Consider the following 13,398-nt stretch of genomic DNA (forward strand, 5'->3'; position numbering starts at 1 on the left):
CCCATAAAACTAATGTCTTGTAAAACTACTTTGTAGCCAGAAATCTTTAAGACATTACCAGTATTCTGAGATAACACAGAATACTCTCTCATAATTTTTAAATCTTTAAATATTAATTTCAACATCAAACACAATTCATTATGGTACCACTTTTTTTAACATGATTAACTTGATAGCTAATACAAATCAATGTGAATGTAAATATATAAGAAATGACCTAGGTAAGACAATAAACATCTGATTACTTGCTCAGCAAATATTTTCTTACCAACTTTACAAACCTCTTTTTTTTGCATTATTTTGAAACATTTACTTTTGCTAGATTCAATGAAGCAAGTAAAGTTTGAATTTGAAAATAAACTAAACTGTGATTTGTGGAAAAGGTTTTTATTTCACTTTTGAAATAAATGACACATACTGCAATTAATTAAATTTGAGATAATTTGATTATTAGAGATAATGACTTTGAGCAAATTTATCAAAATTTATTATAATAACTCTTAAAATAATCGCATTGTTATTCATGTGCTATGTTAAACCACATAATCAAACTGAAACTTTAAGAAAGTACACAGGTCCCAGAACAGAGCAGTTTTTCCTCAAGACAGGAAATTCTGGTCTACCTGAGTCAGTGCAAAAAGGAACTTTTCTCTGCTTTAACCCTTACAACAAATTAACCTGGATTAACCCTGATCTTAACCAATCAGCTTTTTGTCTATTGTTTTGTTTAATTGTTCTCATTTTACAGAAGCTACTGTTCTTCCATTGTCTGTGGAAGCTCTCATCCTATTTTGTAGAATGCCGGCTGCCCTGATTCATGACTTACAAATAGAAGCCAATTACATCCATAACTAAATTTGTTCTAATTTTGTCTTTTAAAAAAGTTATCGTCATAGGCCAGGCACAGTGGCTCACACCTAAAATCCCAGCATTTTGGAAGGTCAAGACAGGCAGATTGCTTTAACCCAGGAGTTTGAGACCAGCCTGGGCAACATGGTGAAGCACAGCTTCTATAAAAAATAACCAGATATGTTGGCATGCGCCTGTAATCCCAGCTACTCCAAAGACTGAGGTGGAAGAATCACTTGAACCCAGGAGGTCAAGGCTGCAGTGAGCCATGATCACTACAGCCTGGGCAACAGGGCAAGACTCTGTCTCAATAAAACAAACAAACAAACAAAAAACAGTTAACATCATAAATTTTGTTTTTATTAAGAAAGGGCAACTTAACACTTTCTTAGCTCTTGAGGATGTAAATTGGTTATCTAACATATATTAATGTCTCAAATATTGTATTATCTTTTAAAAATATGTTTGTGTAGAATATGGAGTGAATTAAGTTAAAATCCAGATAAATATTTTCATTATCTTGCAAAGTTTCCAAAATGCTATGTGTTTTTGCATATAATTATTTACAACTTATTTTTAACACATTACTTCAGCCTATTAGGGATCCAATGACATAGCCTGGATGTTTGTCTCCTAAACCTCATGTTGAAATTTGAACCCCTGTGTTGGAGGTGGGGCCTAATGGGAGGTGTTAGGGTCTTGGGAGCAGATCCCTCATGAAAAGATTGTTGCCCTCCCCGGGGAGAGGGGATGAATGAGCTCTTTGTTAGTTCCCAAGAAAGCTAGTTGTTACAAAGAGCCTAGCACCCCCTCCCCCCTCTTTCCTCTTTTCTCACTATGTGATCTCACTACATGCTGGCTTCCCTTTGCCTTCCGCCATGTGTGGAAGCAACCTCAGAAATTCACCAGAAGCTGAGCAGATGCTGGTGCCATTCTTCCTGTATGGGCTGCAGAATCATGAGCCAAATAAACCTCTTTTTTAAATACATTTTTTAGTCTCAGGAGTTTTTTTTAATAGCAACACAAATGGGTTAAGATATTCAATGCAATGGTTCATGCCAAAAAATACTTTGCTATCCCATGTCACGTTATAGACTTCAGGAGAAAGGACGTTTAGAAGGCATAAAGACATTTACAAAGCACAGTAGTCCCTGTTTTTATTAAAACACATCATTGCTCTATGTAAGTATTTGCTCTGGTTCTGTAAGTGACTCTCCCAGCACACCTCTGGCCTTCAGGTTTATTCTATTTTCTCAGCACAGCACAGTTTTGCTAATTTGTAAAACTCCAATTTCTCATGAACATAATCAGATTTCTGGTTTCTCATAAAAAGAAATCATAGAAGACCTGGTCACACTGGGAGGCATCCCTTATAGGGTAGGACTATGCCCTTTCAATGAGCCAGGCTCTGTCCTGAGAGACAGCATTCCCTCCCAGCTCCATTTACTCCTTACCTCTCCTTGAAGGTTTTTACCTGCTATGATCTTTAGCAACTCTGCTGCCTTTGCTTGCAAGAGAAGATTAGGCATATAATTAACATTTCAGTAGCAGATCAGGCAGAGTCAGAATGAGGGCTTTTGAAACACATCGCAGCATTCATTTACAAGTGATTAGTGGTGGCCACAGGACTGGCTGTCGCTGATTTGCCTTGCTTTAGGGAAGCCATTTTTATCTTCCCTCTACTTCTGGCTGTTGGAATGTTTCCATCTTCCAGCATATGGCACACTTAGTTCCTGAGGTTTTTGCTCCCAGGAAAAGAGAAAGTCCCCAAACTTAATTTTATCCTGGGAAGAGTGCATCTAAACCTTTAATTCAGAGCAGATGATCACTAATCCTAGCATAGTCAGACCTAAGCAGGCAATATTTAGGGACAGACAAACTTTGAAATAATAGCAACTGGCTATTGTATCTCTACTAAGAACTCTGCCTCAAGCGTAGACATGGTTTTCTCCTATAAATCTCACCCTTAGGAACTGACAATTTGTCTTAGGTCAGGATGATATTAGTTTAGCACTCACAATAAGTTTTTCTGGAAATTTAGAATGGTAACAGAAGTTTATATTCTTAGGAATAAATATAAACTATTTTCTTCCTACTATGTTCTGTGTGTCATTGTGGCTGGTGAATAAAGAAAGGACAGACACTTTGGGAGGCCGAGGTGGGCAGATCATGAGATCAGGAGATCGAAACCATCTTGGCCAACATGGTGAAACCCCGTCTCTACTAAAAATACAAAGATTAGCTGGGCGTGGTGGCATCTGCCTGTAATCCCAGCTACTTGGGAGGCTGAGGCAGGAGAATCGCTTGAACCAGGGAGTTAGAGATTGCAGTGAGGTAAGATTGTGCCACTGCACTCCAGCCTGGTGACAGAATAAGACTCCGTCTCAAAAAAAAAAAAAGGACAGAAAGAAAGAGAGCAATTTCTCCCTCCAAGCTTCCATACTCTCTTCATCTGCAGTGCATATGGACATGTGAACACTTTCCTTCACTACTGGACTTAACAGACTGACACATGAGGGGGCAGGCAACACCCTCCCTGCAAGGCAACACAAGAAATGGTTCAAGGTGAGGCAGAGGACAGGTGATGTTCCTGACCTGGCTCTGAACTTTGCTGGCTGAGTGACCATGGATGAATGGCTGATCCACCATAATTCTCATCTTTAAAATGAGATTTTAGAATGGGTTGTGTTGTAGATTAGTACAGCCATTATGAAAAACATTATGGAGGTTCCTCAAAACCTTAAAACTAGAACGAGCATATGACCCAGCAATCTCACTTATGGCATATATGGAAAGAAAATGAAATCAGTATGTCAAAGAGATGTCTTCACTTCTACATTTACTGCAGTGTTACTCACAATAGCCAAGATACGCAATCAACCTAAGTGTTCATCAATGAATACATGGATTTTTAAGATGTGGTATATATATGAATACTATTGAACCAAAAAACAGAATGAAATCCTGTTATTTTCAACAACATGGATGAACCCAGAGGACATTAGGTTAAGTGAAATAAGTTAGGCACAGAAAGAGAAATATTGCATGATCTCACGCACATGTAGAATCTAAAAAGTTGGGCTGGGTGTGGTGGCTCATGCCTGTAATCCTAGCGCTTTGGGAGGCCGAGGAGGGTGGATCACCTGAGGTCCGGAATTTGAGACCAGCCTGGCCAACATGGCAAAACCCCATCTCTACTAAAAATGCGAAAGTTAGCCGGTCATGGTGGCACACGCCTGTAATCCCAGCTACTTGGGAGGCTGAGGAAGGACAATCATTTGAACCCAGGGAGGTGGAGGTTGCAGTGAGCCGAGATCGCACCACTGCACTCCAGCCTGTGTGACAGGAGCTAGACTTCATCTCAAAAAAAAAAAAAAAAAGTTTATGTCATAGAAGTAGAAAGTAAAATGGTTGTTACCAGAGACTGGGATGTTGGGGGCAATGGGAAGATACTGGCCAAAAGATATATAATTACACTTAGATAGTTAAATGTCCAGGAAATAATAAATGTATAAAGACAGAAAGAAGATAAGCAATCACTTGGGGCCGAGGGATGGTGAGGAGAGGATAGATGGAGGGAGGAGAGAAATGAGGAAAGACTACTAATGGTCATGGAGTTTCTTTTTTGGGTGATGAAAATGCCCTAAAATTAATCGTGGTGATGGCTGTGCAACCCCTGAACATACTAAAAACCACTGAAGTGTATACTTTAAATGGGTGAATTGTATGATATATGAATTATCCCAATAAAGCTGTTTAAAAAAAATGGTTGTGATGAGGAGTGATGCCTATGAAACCTTTAACATAGTGCCATATACAGTAACAACTCAGTAATATTTAGTTATTTGTATTATTATGCCATCTCCAAGACACCTCACCACTAGTCTCTAGAGTATCACAAGTAAAACTATGTGGAATCTTCCACTCACTCCAGTTTCCACTCTGGCAATCGTGTGGTCTATAAAATATACTGTCCTCTTTCAGACCTGGAAGTGGAAGGAGGCTGCACACATTTGAAAGAAAATTGTCCAATTAAATTCATTATCTTTATGACATAGAGATATGGAAAATGGATATAAATGCAGGAGCTTTGTTTTTAAAAGTTGAATAATAAATTCTGCTGAAATACAATGTCATTCACTATGTAGGCAAATAACATCTACAAAAATTTAGGTAGAGGGATGTATACATCTATTAGGATATTCTAGAATGACTTTTTAAAGGTTATGCTGTAAAAATGCCACCAGGTGTTAGAAAAAGATCAAACTGTGTCAAACTTTTTTTTTTCTTTTTTTTTTGAGATGGAGTCTCGCTCTGTCGCCCAGGCTAGAGTGCAGTGGCGCGATCTTGGCTCACTGCAAGCTCCGCCTCCCGGGTTCACGTCGTTCTCCTGCCTCAGCCTCCCGAGTAGCTGGGACTACAGGCGCCTGCCACCACACCCGGCTGATTTTTTTGTATTTTTAGTAGTGGCAGGGTTTCACCGTGTTAGCCAGGATGGCCTCTATCTCCTGACCTCGTGATCCGCCAGCCTCAGCCTCCCAAAGTGCTGTGATTACAGGCGTCAGCCGCTGCGCCCGGCCTCCTCCATAGCCCTTCCAACAGAAGCACCAAATGACAACTCTAGAAGAAACATTTACAACTCTTTCCATTTTTCATCATACCTTTAAATTATAGGATGTCATTTGATGGTTTATTTCAGTGGTCTGTTGTTCTACTTGGTGGTCTATTTCATTATAAAATATATCTTTTATGACAGTAAACCACTGGGCTACAGAGTCATGATAATTTCTAAATTTTGCTGCTGACCTCTAGACTCACAGTCTGTAAATAGTCTGACTTTATATCACTCCTATAAATGTTGTCAGGTTAGGGTCAAGTAAATAATTAGAAAATAATTCAGTATTTTTTTAATCAAGCATTATGATTTTTATCTTTTTGCAAGTTTAGAGTAACTTTTTCTCGGACAAATGCTTCTCTTGACCCTGACACTCTCTGAAGATTTGTTTTGTGTGCCAAATTGTATTACTGTTCCCAATTACTTGCTGTCCTCCAAGTAAGAGGATTATACATCCCTGACACAATGGAGTTGGGATTGGTCATGTGACTTGCTGTAGCCCATAGAACGTGAAGAGAAATGCTGAGAGCCACTGCTGTGAAGAAGCTCACATTCTGCCCATAATGGCCAGAGAGCACATCAGCCATAAATTAGGTTGTTCAGTTCATAGCCTGCCTCCCTCCAAGCAAACATTATGGTGATAGGCAGAATAATGCTAGGAATCTTAAAGGTTTGGTCATTTTCTTTTCTCATTTTCAGAGCTTTGTGCACTTTTGACCCATATTGTTTTTAAAACTTTGCCACTTAGGATAGATTTACAGCAACCCATAGGAAACAAAATTTAAAAACAATACATAAGGCAATTATCTAAGAGCTATAATTTTTAAATTAAAAGATTTTAAAACACTAAAAGGAATGGGAGGAAAGTTCTCTACTAATTTATTAAATGATGCAAAAGAAAATAGACTGGAGAAAAATGACTAATAACAAATACAGCATCCTCTTTCATATTTTAATATTCTACGTATTAGATTTAATGATGACCAGGTATTTGAGAGTATATTTATTGTCATAAGTTAGGCATAAATGTATATATAGACACATTGATACATTAAGTGCCTTTGTGTGATTGTATACCATATCTACATTTAGTTTTTGTGAACTATATGTAGTTCACATATATATCACATGTCATGCACATATATGTCATGCATGTGACATATAGCATACACATACATTTAGGAAAAAAAGTTCTATGAATGAAAATATATGTGTCCATCTCCTAGCTTAATAAATTAAACATTACCAATATTTATTAGTCCTCAAGGTAAATGCTATCCTAAATTTTGTTTATCATTCCTTTACTTTTTGTTTGTGATTCTTTGAATATACTCTTTTGTTTTTCCCTATTTTTTTTTTTTTTTTTTTTTTTTTTGAGGTGGAGTCTTGCTTTGTCGCCTAGGCGGGAGTGCAGTGGCACAATCTCGGCTCACTGCAAGCTCCACCTCCCGAGTTCATGCCATTCTCCTGCCTCAGCCTCCCGAGTAGCTGGGACTACAGGCGCCCGCCACTACGTCTGGCTAATTTTTTTGGTTTTTTAGTAGAAACAGGGTTTCACCGTGTTAGCCAGGATGGTCTTGATCTCATGACCTCGTGATCCGCCCATCTCGGCCTCCCAAAGTGCTGGGATTACAGTCGTGAGCCACTGCGCCTGGCCTGTTTTTCCTCTTTTTAAAGACTTCGTAGACTTGGAACATACATATTAACTCTGTGTTTTTTTAAAAGCTATTATTGTTCAACTTGAGTTTTTGAGATTCAGGCATGCTGATACATGTAATTAATGTCCTTAATTTTCACTGCTATATGATATTCCACTGAATGCATCTGCCACATTTTATTCATCCATTTTTTGGTTTTTAGGCATCTTAGTTGTTTATTTTTCCTTTTCTGGCTTTCATAAAAAATGTTTCTATGAATATTTTAGTTTATAACATCTTTTCCCAGTGACTTTTGGATTTTCCTATTCACAACCTATTTAACTGAGTTTACTGGTTTGAATAGAGAACTTTGGGAGGCAACCAATGTGACTTATTTTAGCAGACGGGATGGTGGTTGAGGTGAACTGATATGCACATGAGGTCAGGCCAGTTGTGCACATGGGCATAGCCTTTTATCAGTGATACTTCTGAACAGCCCAGCACATTATTGCTGGGAAGTCCTTTAGAGACCATGGGTCCGATTTCCTCTTCTTGAATTGCTGTGCCAATTCATTTTCAAAAATTACTGTCATGGCTGGATGCGGTGGCTCACGCCTGTAATCCCAGCACTTTGGGAGGCCAAGGCGGGCGGATCACGACGAGGTCAGGAGATCAAGACCATCCTGGCTAACATGGTGAAACCCCGTCTCTACTAAAAATACAAAAAATTAGCCAGGCGTGGTGGCGGGAGCCTGTAATTCCAGCTATTCAGGAGGCTGAGGCGAGAGAATGGCATGAACCTGGGAGGCGGAGCTTGCAGTGAGCCGAGATGGCGCCACTGCACTCCAGCCTGGGAGAAGAGAGAGACTCCGTCTCAAAACAAAACAAAACAAAACAAAAAAAAAAACAAAAAAAAAACCCTGTCATGTTAATGTAGTTTCCTATGAGAAACAAGTGAATTAAAGAGTTAAAAATTAATCGTGTTACAGATGAGCTTGTTTAATTGCTGCATTCCTTCTTTTTCTGTAGTGACTTTATATGAGCACTGAGAGGCAGAAATGGTGATGAGGGTTGAGAATTTGCGGTTGTTTTCTTCCCAACTAACTTGTAAATTTAGAATGACCTAAATTTAACGACAACAGCTGCAAACTCTAATCTGAGTACTATATTATAATATTAACCACTGAATGAAACTAGACATATTATGTCAACGTAAGAGCAACATTTTCAGGGAAGGGTGAGGAATTTGGACTATTTTAGAAACTAAAGGAATACAGCAGGCAAAAGCAAACACCAATCTGCTGACGTCAGATAAAGACAAACTTTATTTCTGAAAAAAGAAACTTGGGGGAGAAAAGCTTAGGGCAAACCACCAGCTGATATAGTTTAGATGGCCAGGTGCGGTGGCTCACGCCTGTAATCCCAGCACTTTGGGAGGCCGAGGCGGGCGGATCACAAGGTCAGAAGATCGAGACCATCCTGGCTAACATGGTGAAACCCCATCTCTACTAAAAATACAAAAATTAGCCGGGCATGGTGGCCGGCGCCTGTAGTCCCAGCTACTCGGGAGGCTGAGGCAGGAGAATGGCGTAAACCCGGGAGGCGGAGCTTGCAGTGAGCCGAGATCGTGCCACTGCCCTCCAGCCTGGGCGAGAGTGCAAGACTCCATCTCAAAAAAAAAAAAAAAAAAAAAAAAAAAAAATATATATATATATATATATATATATATAGTTTGGATGTTTGTTCTTTCCAAATCTCATGTTAAGATGTGATTCCCATGTTGGAGGTAGGCCCTGGTGGGAGGTGTTTGGGTCATGGGGGTGGAGACCTCATGAATGGTTTGATGCCTTCCTCATAGTAACGAATAAGTCCTCCCTGCATTAGTTCATGCAAAAGCTGGTTGTTTAAAGGAGTCTAGGCCGGGTACAGTGGCTCACGGCTGTAATCCCAGCACTTTGAGAGGCTGAGGCCGGCGGATTGATTGAGCTTAGGAGTTCGAGACCACCCCGGGCAACATGGTGAAAGCTCGCCTCTACTAAAATACAAAAAAGTAGCCAGGCCTGGTGGAGTGCACCTGTAGTCCCAGCTACACGGGAGGCTGAGGCACAAGAATTGCTTGAGCCTTGGAGGCAGAGGTTGCAGTGAGCCAAGATCGCATCACTGCACTCCAGCTGGGGCTACAGAGTGAGACTCTGTCTCAAATAAATAAATAAATAAATAAATAAATAAATAAAGTCTGGCATCTCTCTTGTTCCCTCTCTTACCATGTCATACACCAGCTCCCACTTTGCCTTCTGCAATGATTGTAAGCTTCCTGTGGCCTCAGCAAAAGCTGATACTGTCATTACACTTTTTGTACAGCCTGCAGAACTGTGAACCAAATAAACCTCTTTTCTTTATAAATTATCCAGCCTCACATATTTCTTTATAGCAACACAAAATCGACTAACACACCAGCAGACATGGTGTTCTTGTTCTCAAAGCCAAGGCGGGCAGATCACCTGAGGTCAGGAGTTCAAGACCAGCTTGGCCAACATGGCAAAACCCCATCTCTAGTAAAAATCAAAAAATTAGCCGGGTGTGGTGGTGTGCACCTGTAATCGCAGCTACTCTGGAGGCTGAGGCAGGAGAATTGCTTGAACCCAGCAGGTGGAGGTTGCTGTGAGCTGAGATTGCACCACTGTACTCCAGCCTGGGTGACAGAGCAAGACTCTATCTCAAAAAAAAAATTATTATAATCACAAAGTTTAATTTACAGATATGACCTGTTTGTGCAGGGACCTCACAGTCCCCGTGTCTATTTACAGAATCTCCAGCTTTGAACTCACTAAGATAGGGCAACCTCAGTTTCAGGTAGCTGGAGTGGAAACCCCCATAACACAGTTCTGACTTCATTGTTCTTTATATCTAATCCCAGGTATACCTTGTATAGAATCTGTTACAAGGTGAGGTAAGTGAGGTACTCCCCTTAGGAACACAATTAAATGGGTAAGCACAAAACTTAGCAATCAAAATAAATAATGTTTTAATACATTATTTAAAAATATTAAAATTAATGCAAAAAAGTCACCATGAGCAAATATTAAAATTTAGCAGGATCTGAGCCTGCACTTTTGCAACTCACCTTGTTCATCTCACCTTAATTCCTGTTAATTTCCTTCTCAATTAGTTTCCAGCAGGACAAAAATTCGTTGGACTTGGTATGAAGATTCAATCCATACCTTGCAGAAATATTTGGTTTAAGAAGGATATTTCATCTAGGCCGAGGTCATTTATTAAGTTTAATTCTCCCATCATGTCTTCAAGGCAACAAATATAGTCTAAGACCCTCTATGACCAGTTTTATTTGCCACTTTCCAATTATTTTGTCACTACACAGCCAATCACAATCTGTTGTAAGATTTTACTACAAATGATGACTTAATCTTGCTATTATGATTAGGATGATTATATAGTGTTCTTCATTTAAATTGGGACATTCTTTATTTGAAAGGAGTGCTATAGAAATCATGCCAGGACTAATGGGACTGACTTGGACAAAGCAGTATTGCTTTCTGTATGTGCTATTATATTTTAACCACGTTCTTGTCTCATGGATGGCTTTATTAGCATAAGAGTGGCCACTTTTAAAAAGCAGCATTTCTGGGAGGCTGAGGGAGGAGAATGGTGTGAACCCGGGAGGCAGAGCTTGCAGTGAGCCGAGATCGCACCACTGCACTCCGGCCTGGGCGACAGAGAGAGACTCTGTCTCAAAAATAAATAAATAAATAAATAAATAAATAAATAAATAAATAAATAATAAAAATAAAAATAAGAAAGCAGCATTTCCTACATATTGCATTCAATTTTTTACTTACCTATCCCTTTGACTTTTAAAACTTTTTTTCTTAGTCTGTGCTTATGTCTTTGTGATGTTTCCATCAGACAGCAGGCGGCACCACTGCAGCGCACTGTGCACCAAGTTTTGCATTCCTGCCATCCTTTTATACTTATTTATTTATTTAGACAGAGTCTCACTCTTGTTGCTCAAGCTGGAGTGCAGTGGTGCGATCCTGGCTCACTGTAACCTCTGCCTCCCGGGTTCAAGCGATTCTCCTGCCTCAGCCTCCCTTGTAGCTGGGACTACAGGCACCCACCACCAAGCCCAGCTAATTTTGTATTTTTAGTAGAGACGGGGTTTCACCACGTTGGTCAGGCTGGTCTCGAACTTCTGACCTTAGGTGATCCACCTGCCTCAGCCTCCCAAAGTGCTAGGGTTACAGGTGTGAGCCACCACCCGAGCCTTACACCATTCCTTGAAATTTGCGTTTATGGCATCTTTGACTTACTCAATAACACATCTTGTACCATCGTGCTAGAAATGCTAACTTGTGTTCAGAATTTCTGCATCCTTCTTAAGTGAAACTTTGCCAATTAAGTAAACCTGTGATAATACGGTAATGAAATCTTATCCCAGTATCTCATTTCTAGTGCCATAATAGTGACAATTTATCTTGTCATCTTCAGAGGGGCTTAACCTCACTGATTCTGTCAGTAGTAATGGATATATTTAATTAATTCAGCAGGAAGTTCTGTCTTTAAGCTCATTCTCTTTCCCCTATGCGGAGAGTGAGGACAAGCTTCTGCAAAAGAGCCGATTAGCAGAACTTTTGATATTCTGAAGACAGTTACTGTCCCTCTCTTGCCCTTTCTCTTGCTCTGTGTGTGTGTGTATGTGTGACACACACACATTTAATATGTTTATATAAATATTAACATATATCTTTAATATTTTCCAGTCCTTATCTCAATGCTCTTGATTGATAATGAGGGGCAGTGAAAGTCATTACAGAGATATACAAAGTTTACCTTAACTGTATCTAGATGTAGAGTTTTTTAAATCATTTGAACTCTGAGTTTCAACATTTTTTTAAAGCAATAAATGAAAGCCTTCAGAGTGCAAAAATTTTTAATATGATATTAATTTGAAAACCTCAAAGTCTCTGCAGTGATTTTAAATATGATGCAGCCTTCTACTCTAAAATATGAAATCTAGATTATTAAAGTATTACTAGAATATGGCTTTAGTTGTTAATTTAAAAATCTAAATAAAATACAACAGTTTTTATGACAGTTCTGAGGGGAAAAAAACACTGTGGATTGTGTAGGAGTTAAAGGCTGAATCTTCATTTCCTGCTCTCTGAAACTGTACCAGTGATTGACAACCACAAAATAGAGAAAGATTAATGCAGAATATGTCAGTGTAGCAGATAAATTCCACACTTCATAAAACATTTTTTCACAGAGATTAAAAAAATAGAACATTATCAAGAGAACACAACCCCTGGGTAATAAATGTTAATATTTACATCAATAATATACTATAAATATTAATATTTAAATGACACTGGAGATAACCTAAGGAAAAACTATCAGTTTGACTGGGCCACAGGGTGGCTCAGATATTTGGTCAAACATTATTCTGTGTGTCTGTGAGGGTGTTTTCTGAATGAGATTAACATTTGAATCTCTAGCTGAGTGAAGCCCACTGCACTCCCCAATATGGATGGTCCTTATCCTCTTGGTGGGAGGCCTGAATAGAACAAAACAGCTGACCCTCCCGTGAGTACTGGGGAGCTCCTTTTGCCTGACTGTGTGAACTGGGACATTGGTCTTTTCCTACATTCGTAAATGAACGAAAACATTGGCTCTTCTTGAGCCTCAAGGCTGCAAGCTTTTGGACTATACCTTACCTCTGCTGGGTCTCCAACTTGCTGACTTCAAATTTCCATACTAATCAGCTTCTGTCATTACTTGAGCCAATTCTCAATTCTTTAGACAGTCCCCAACTTACAATGGTTCAAAATGATTTTGCAGCTAATGATGGTGTGGGCTGTTTTGTTTTTATTTAATAAATTGACAATTATTTTAGCTAAAATAATAAAGATTGCATTTTGTTTTTTACTTTCAACATAGTATTTAATAAGTTACATTAAATATTCAACACTTCATTATAAAATAGGCTTTGTGTTACATGATTTGGCCCAAACATAGGCTAAATGTATGCTAATGTAAGTGTTCTGAGCACATTTAAGGTAGGCTAAGCTAAGCTATGAGGTCCAGTAGGTTAGGTGTATTAAATGCATTTTCAACTTGTCAGAGACAAGTGAACCAGAGCAACTCCATCTTAAATAGGAGCTGGGTAAAATGAGGCTGAAATCTCCTGGGCTGCATTCCCAGATGGTTAAGGCATTCTAAGTCATAGAATGAGATAGGAGGTCAGCACAAAATACAGATCATAAAGACCTTGCTGATAAA

At 39.2% G+C, this 13,398-nt stretch overlaps 4 annotated features.

Annotated features, from left to right (window-relative positions):
* Window positions 1,305–2,111: an enhancer, noted in NCBI's record as "OCT4-NANOG-H3K27ac hESC enhancer chr9:43507097-43507903 (GRCh37/hg19 assembly coordinates)". NCBI's record gives its function as "activates a minimal SCP1, AML or CMV promoter by ChIP-STARR-seq in primed H9 embryonic stem cells {active_cell/tissue: H9 hESC(primed)}" and the evidence as "EXISTENCE:reporter gene assay evidence [ECO:0000049][PMID:30033119]".
* Window positions 2,112–2,918: an enhancer, noted in NCBI's record as "OCT4-NANOG-H3K27ac hESC enhancer chr9:43506290-43507096 (GRCh37/hg19 assembly coordinates)". NCBI's record gives its function as "activates a minimal SCP1, AML or CMV promoter by ChIP-STARR-seq in naive and primed H9 embryonic stem cells {active_cell/tissue: H9 hESC(naive and primed)}" and the evidence as "EXISTENCE:reporter gene assay evidence [ECO:0000049][PMID:30033119]".
* Window positions 2,919–3,726: an enhancer, noted in NCBI's record as "H3K27ac hESC enhancer chr9:43505482-43506289 (GRCh37/hg19 assembly coordinates)". NCBI's record gives its function as "activates a minimal SCP1, AML or CMV promoter by ChIP-STARR-seq in primed H9 embryonic stem cells {active_cell/tissue: H9 hESC(primed)}" and the evidence as "EXISTENCE:reporter gene assay evidence [ECO:0000049][PMID:30033119]".
* Window positions 12,093–12,593: an enhancer, noted in NCBI's record as "NANOG-H3K4me1 hESC enhancer chr9:43496615-43497115 (GRCh37/hg19 assembly coordinates)". NCBI's record gives its function as "activates a minimal SCP1, AML or CMV promoter by ChIP-STARR-seq in primed H9 embryonic stem cells {active_cell/tissue: H9 hESC(primed)}" and the evidence as "EXISTENCE:reporter gene assay evidence [ECO:0000049][PMID:30033119]".

Source organism: Homo sapiens, chromosome 9 (assembly GCF_000001405.40).
Source record: "Homo sapiens chromosome 9, GRCh38.p14 Primary Assembly".
Taxonomy (NCBI): domain Eukaryota; kingdom Metazoa; phylum Chordata; class Mammalia; order Primates; family Hominidae; genus Homo; species Homo sapiens.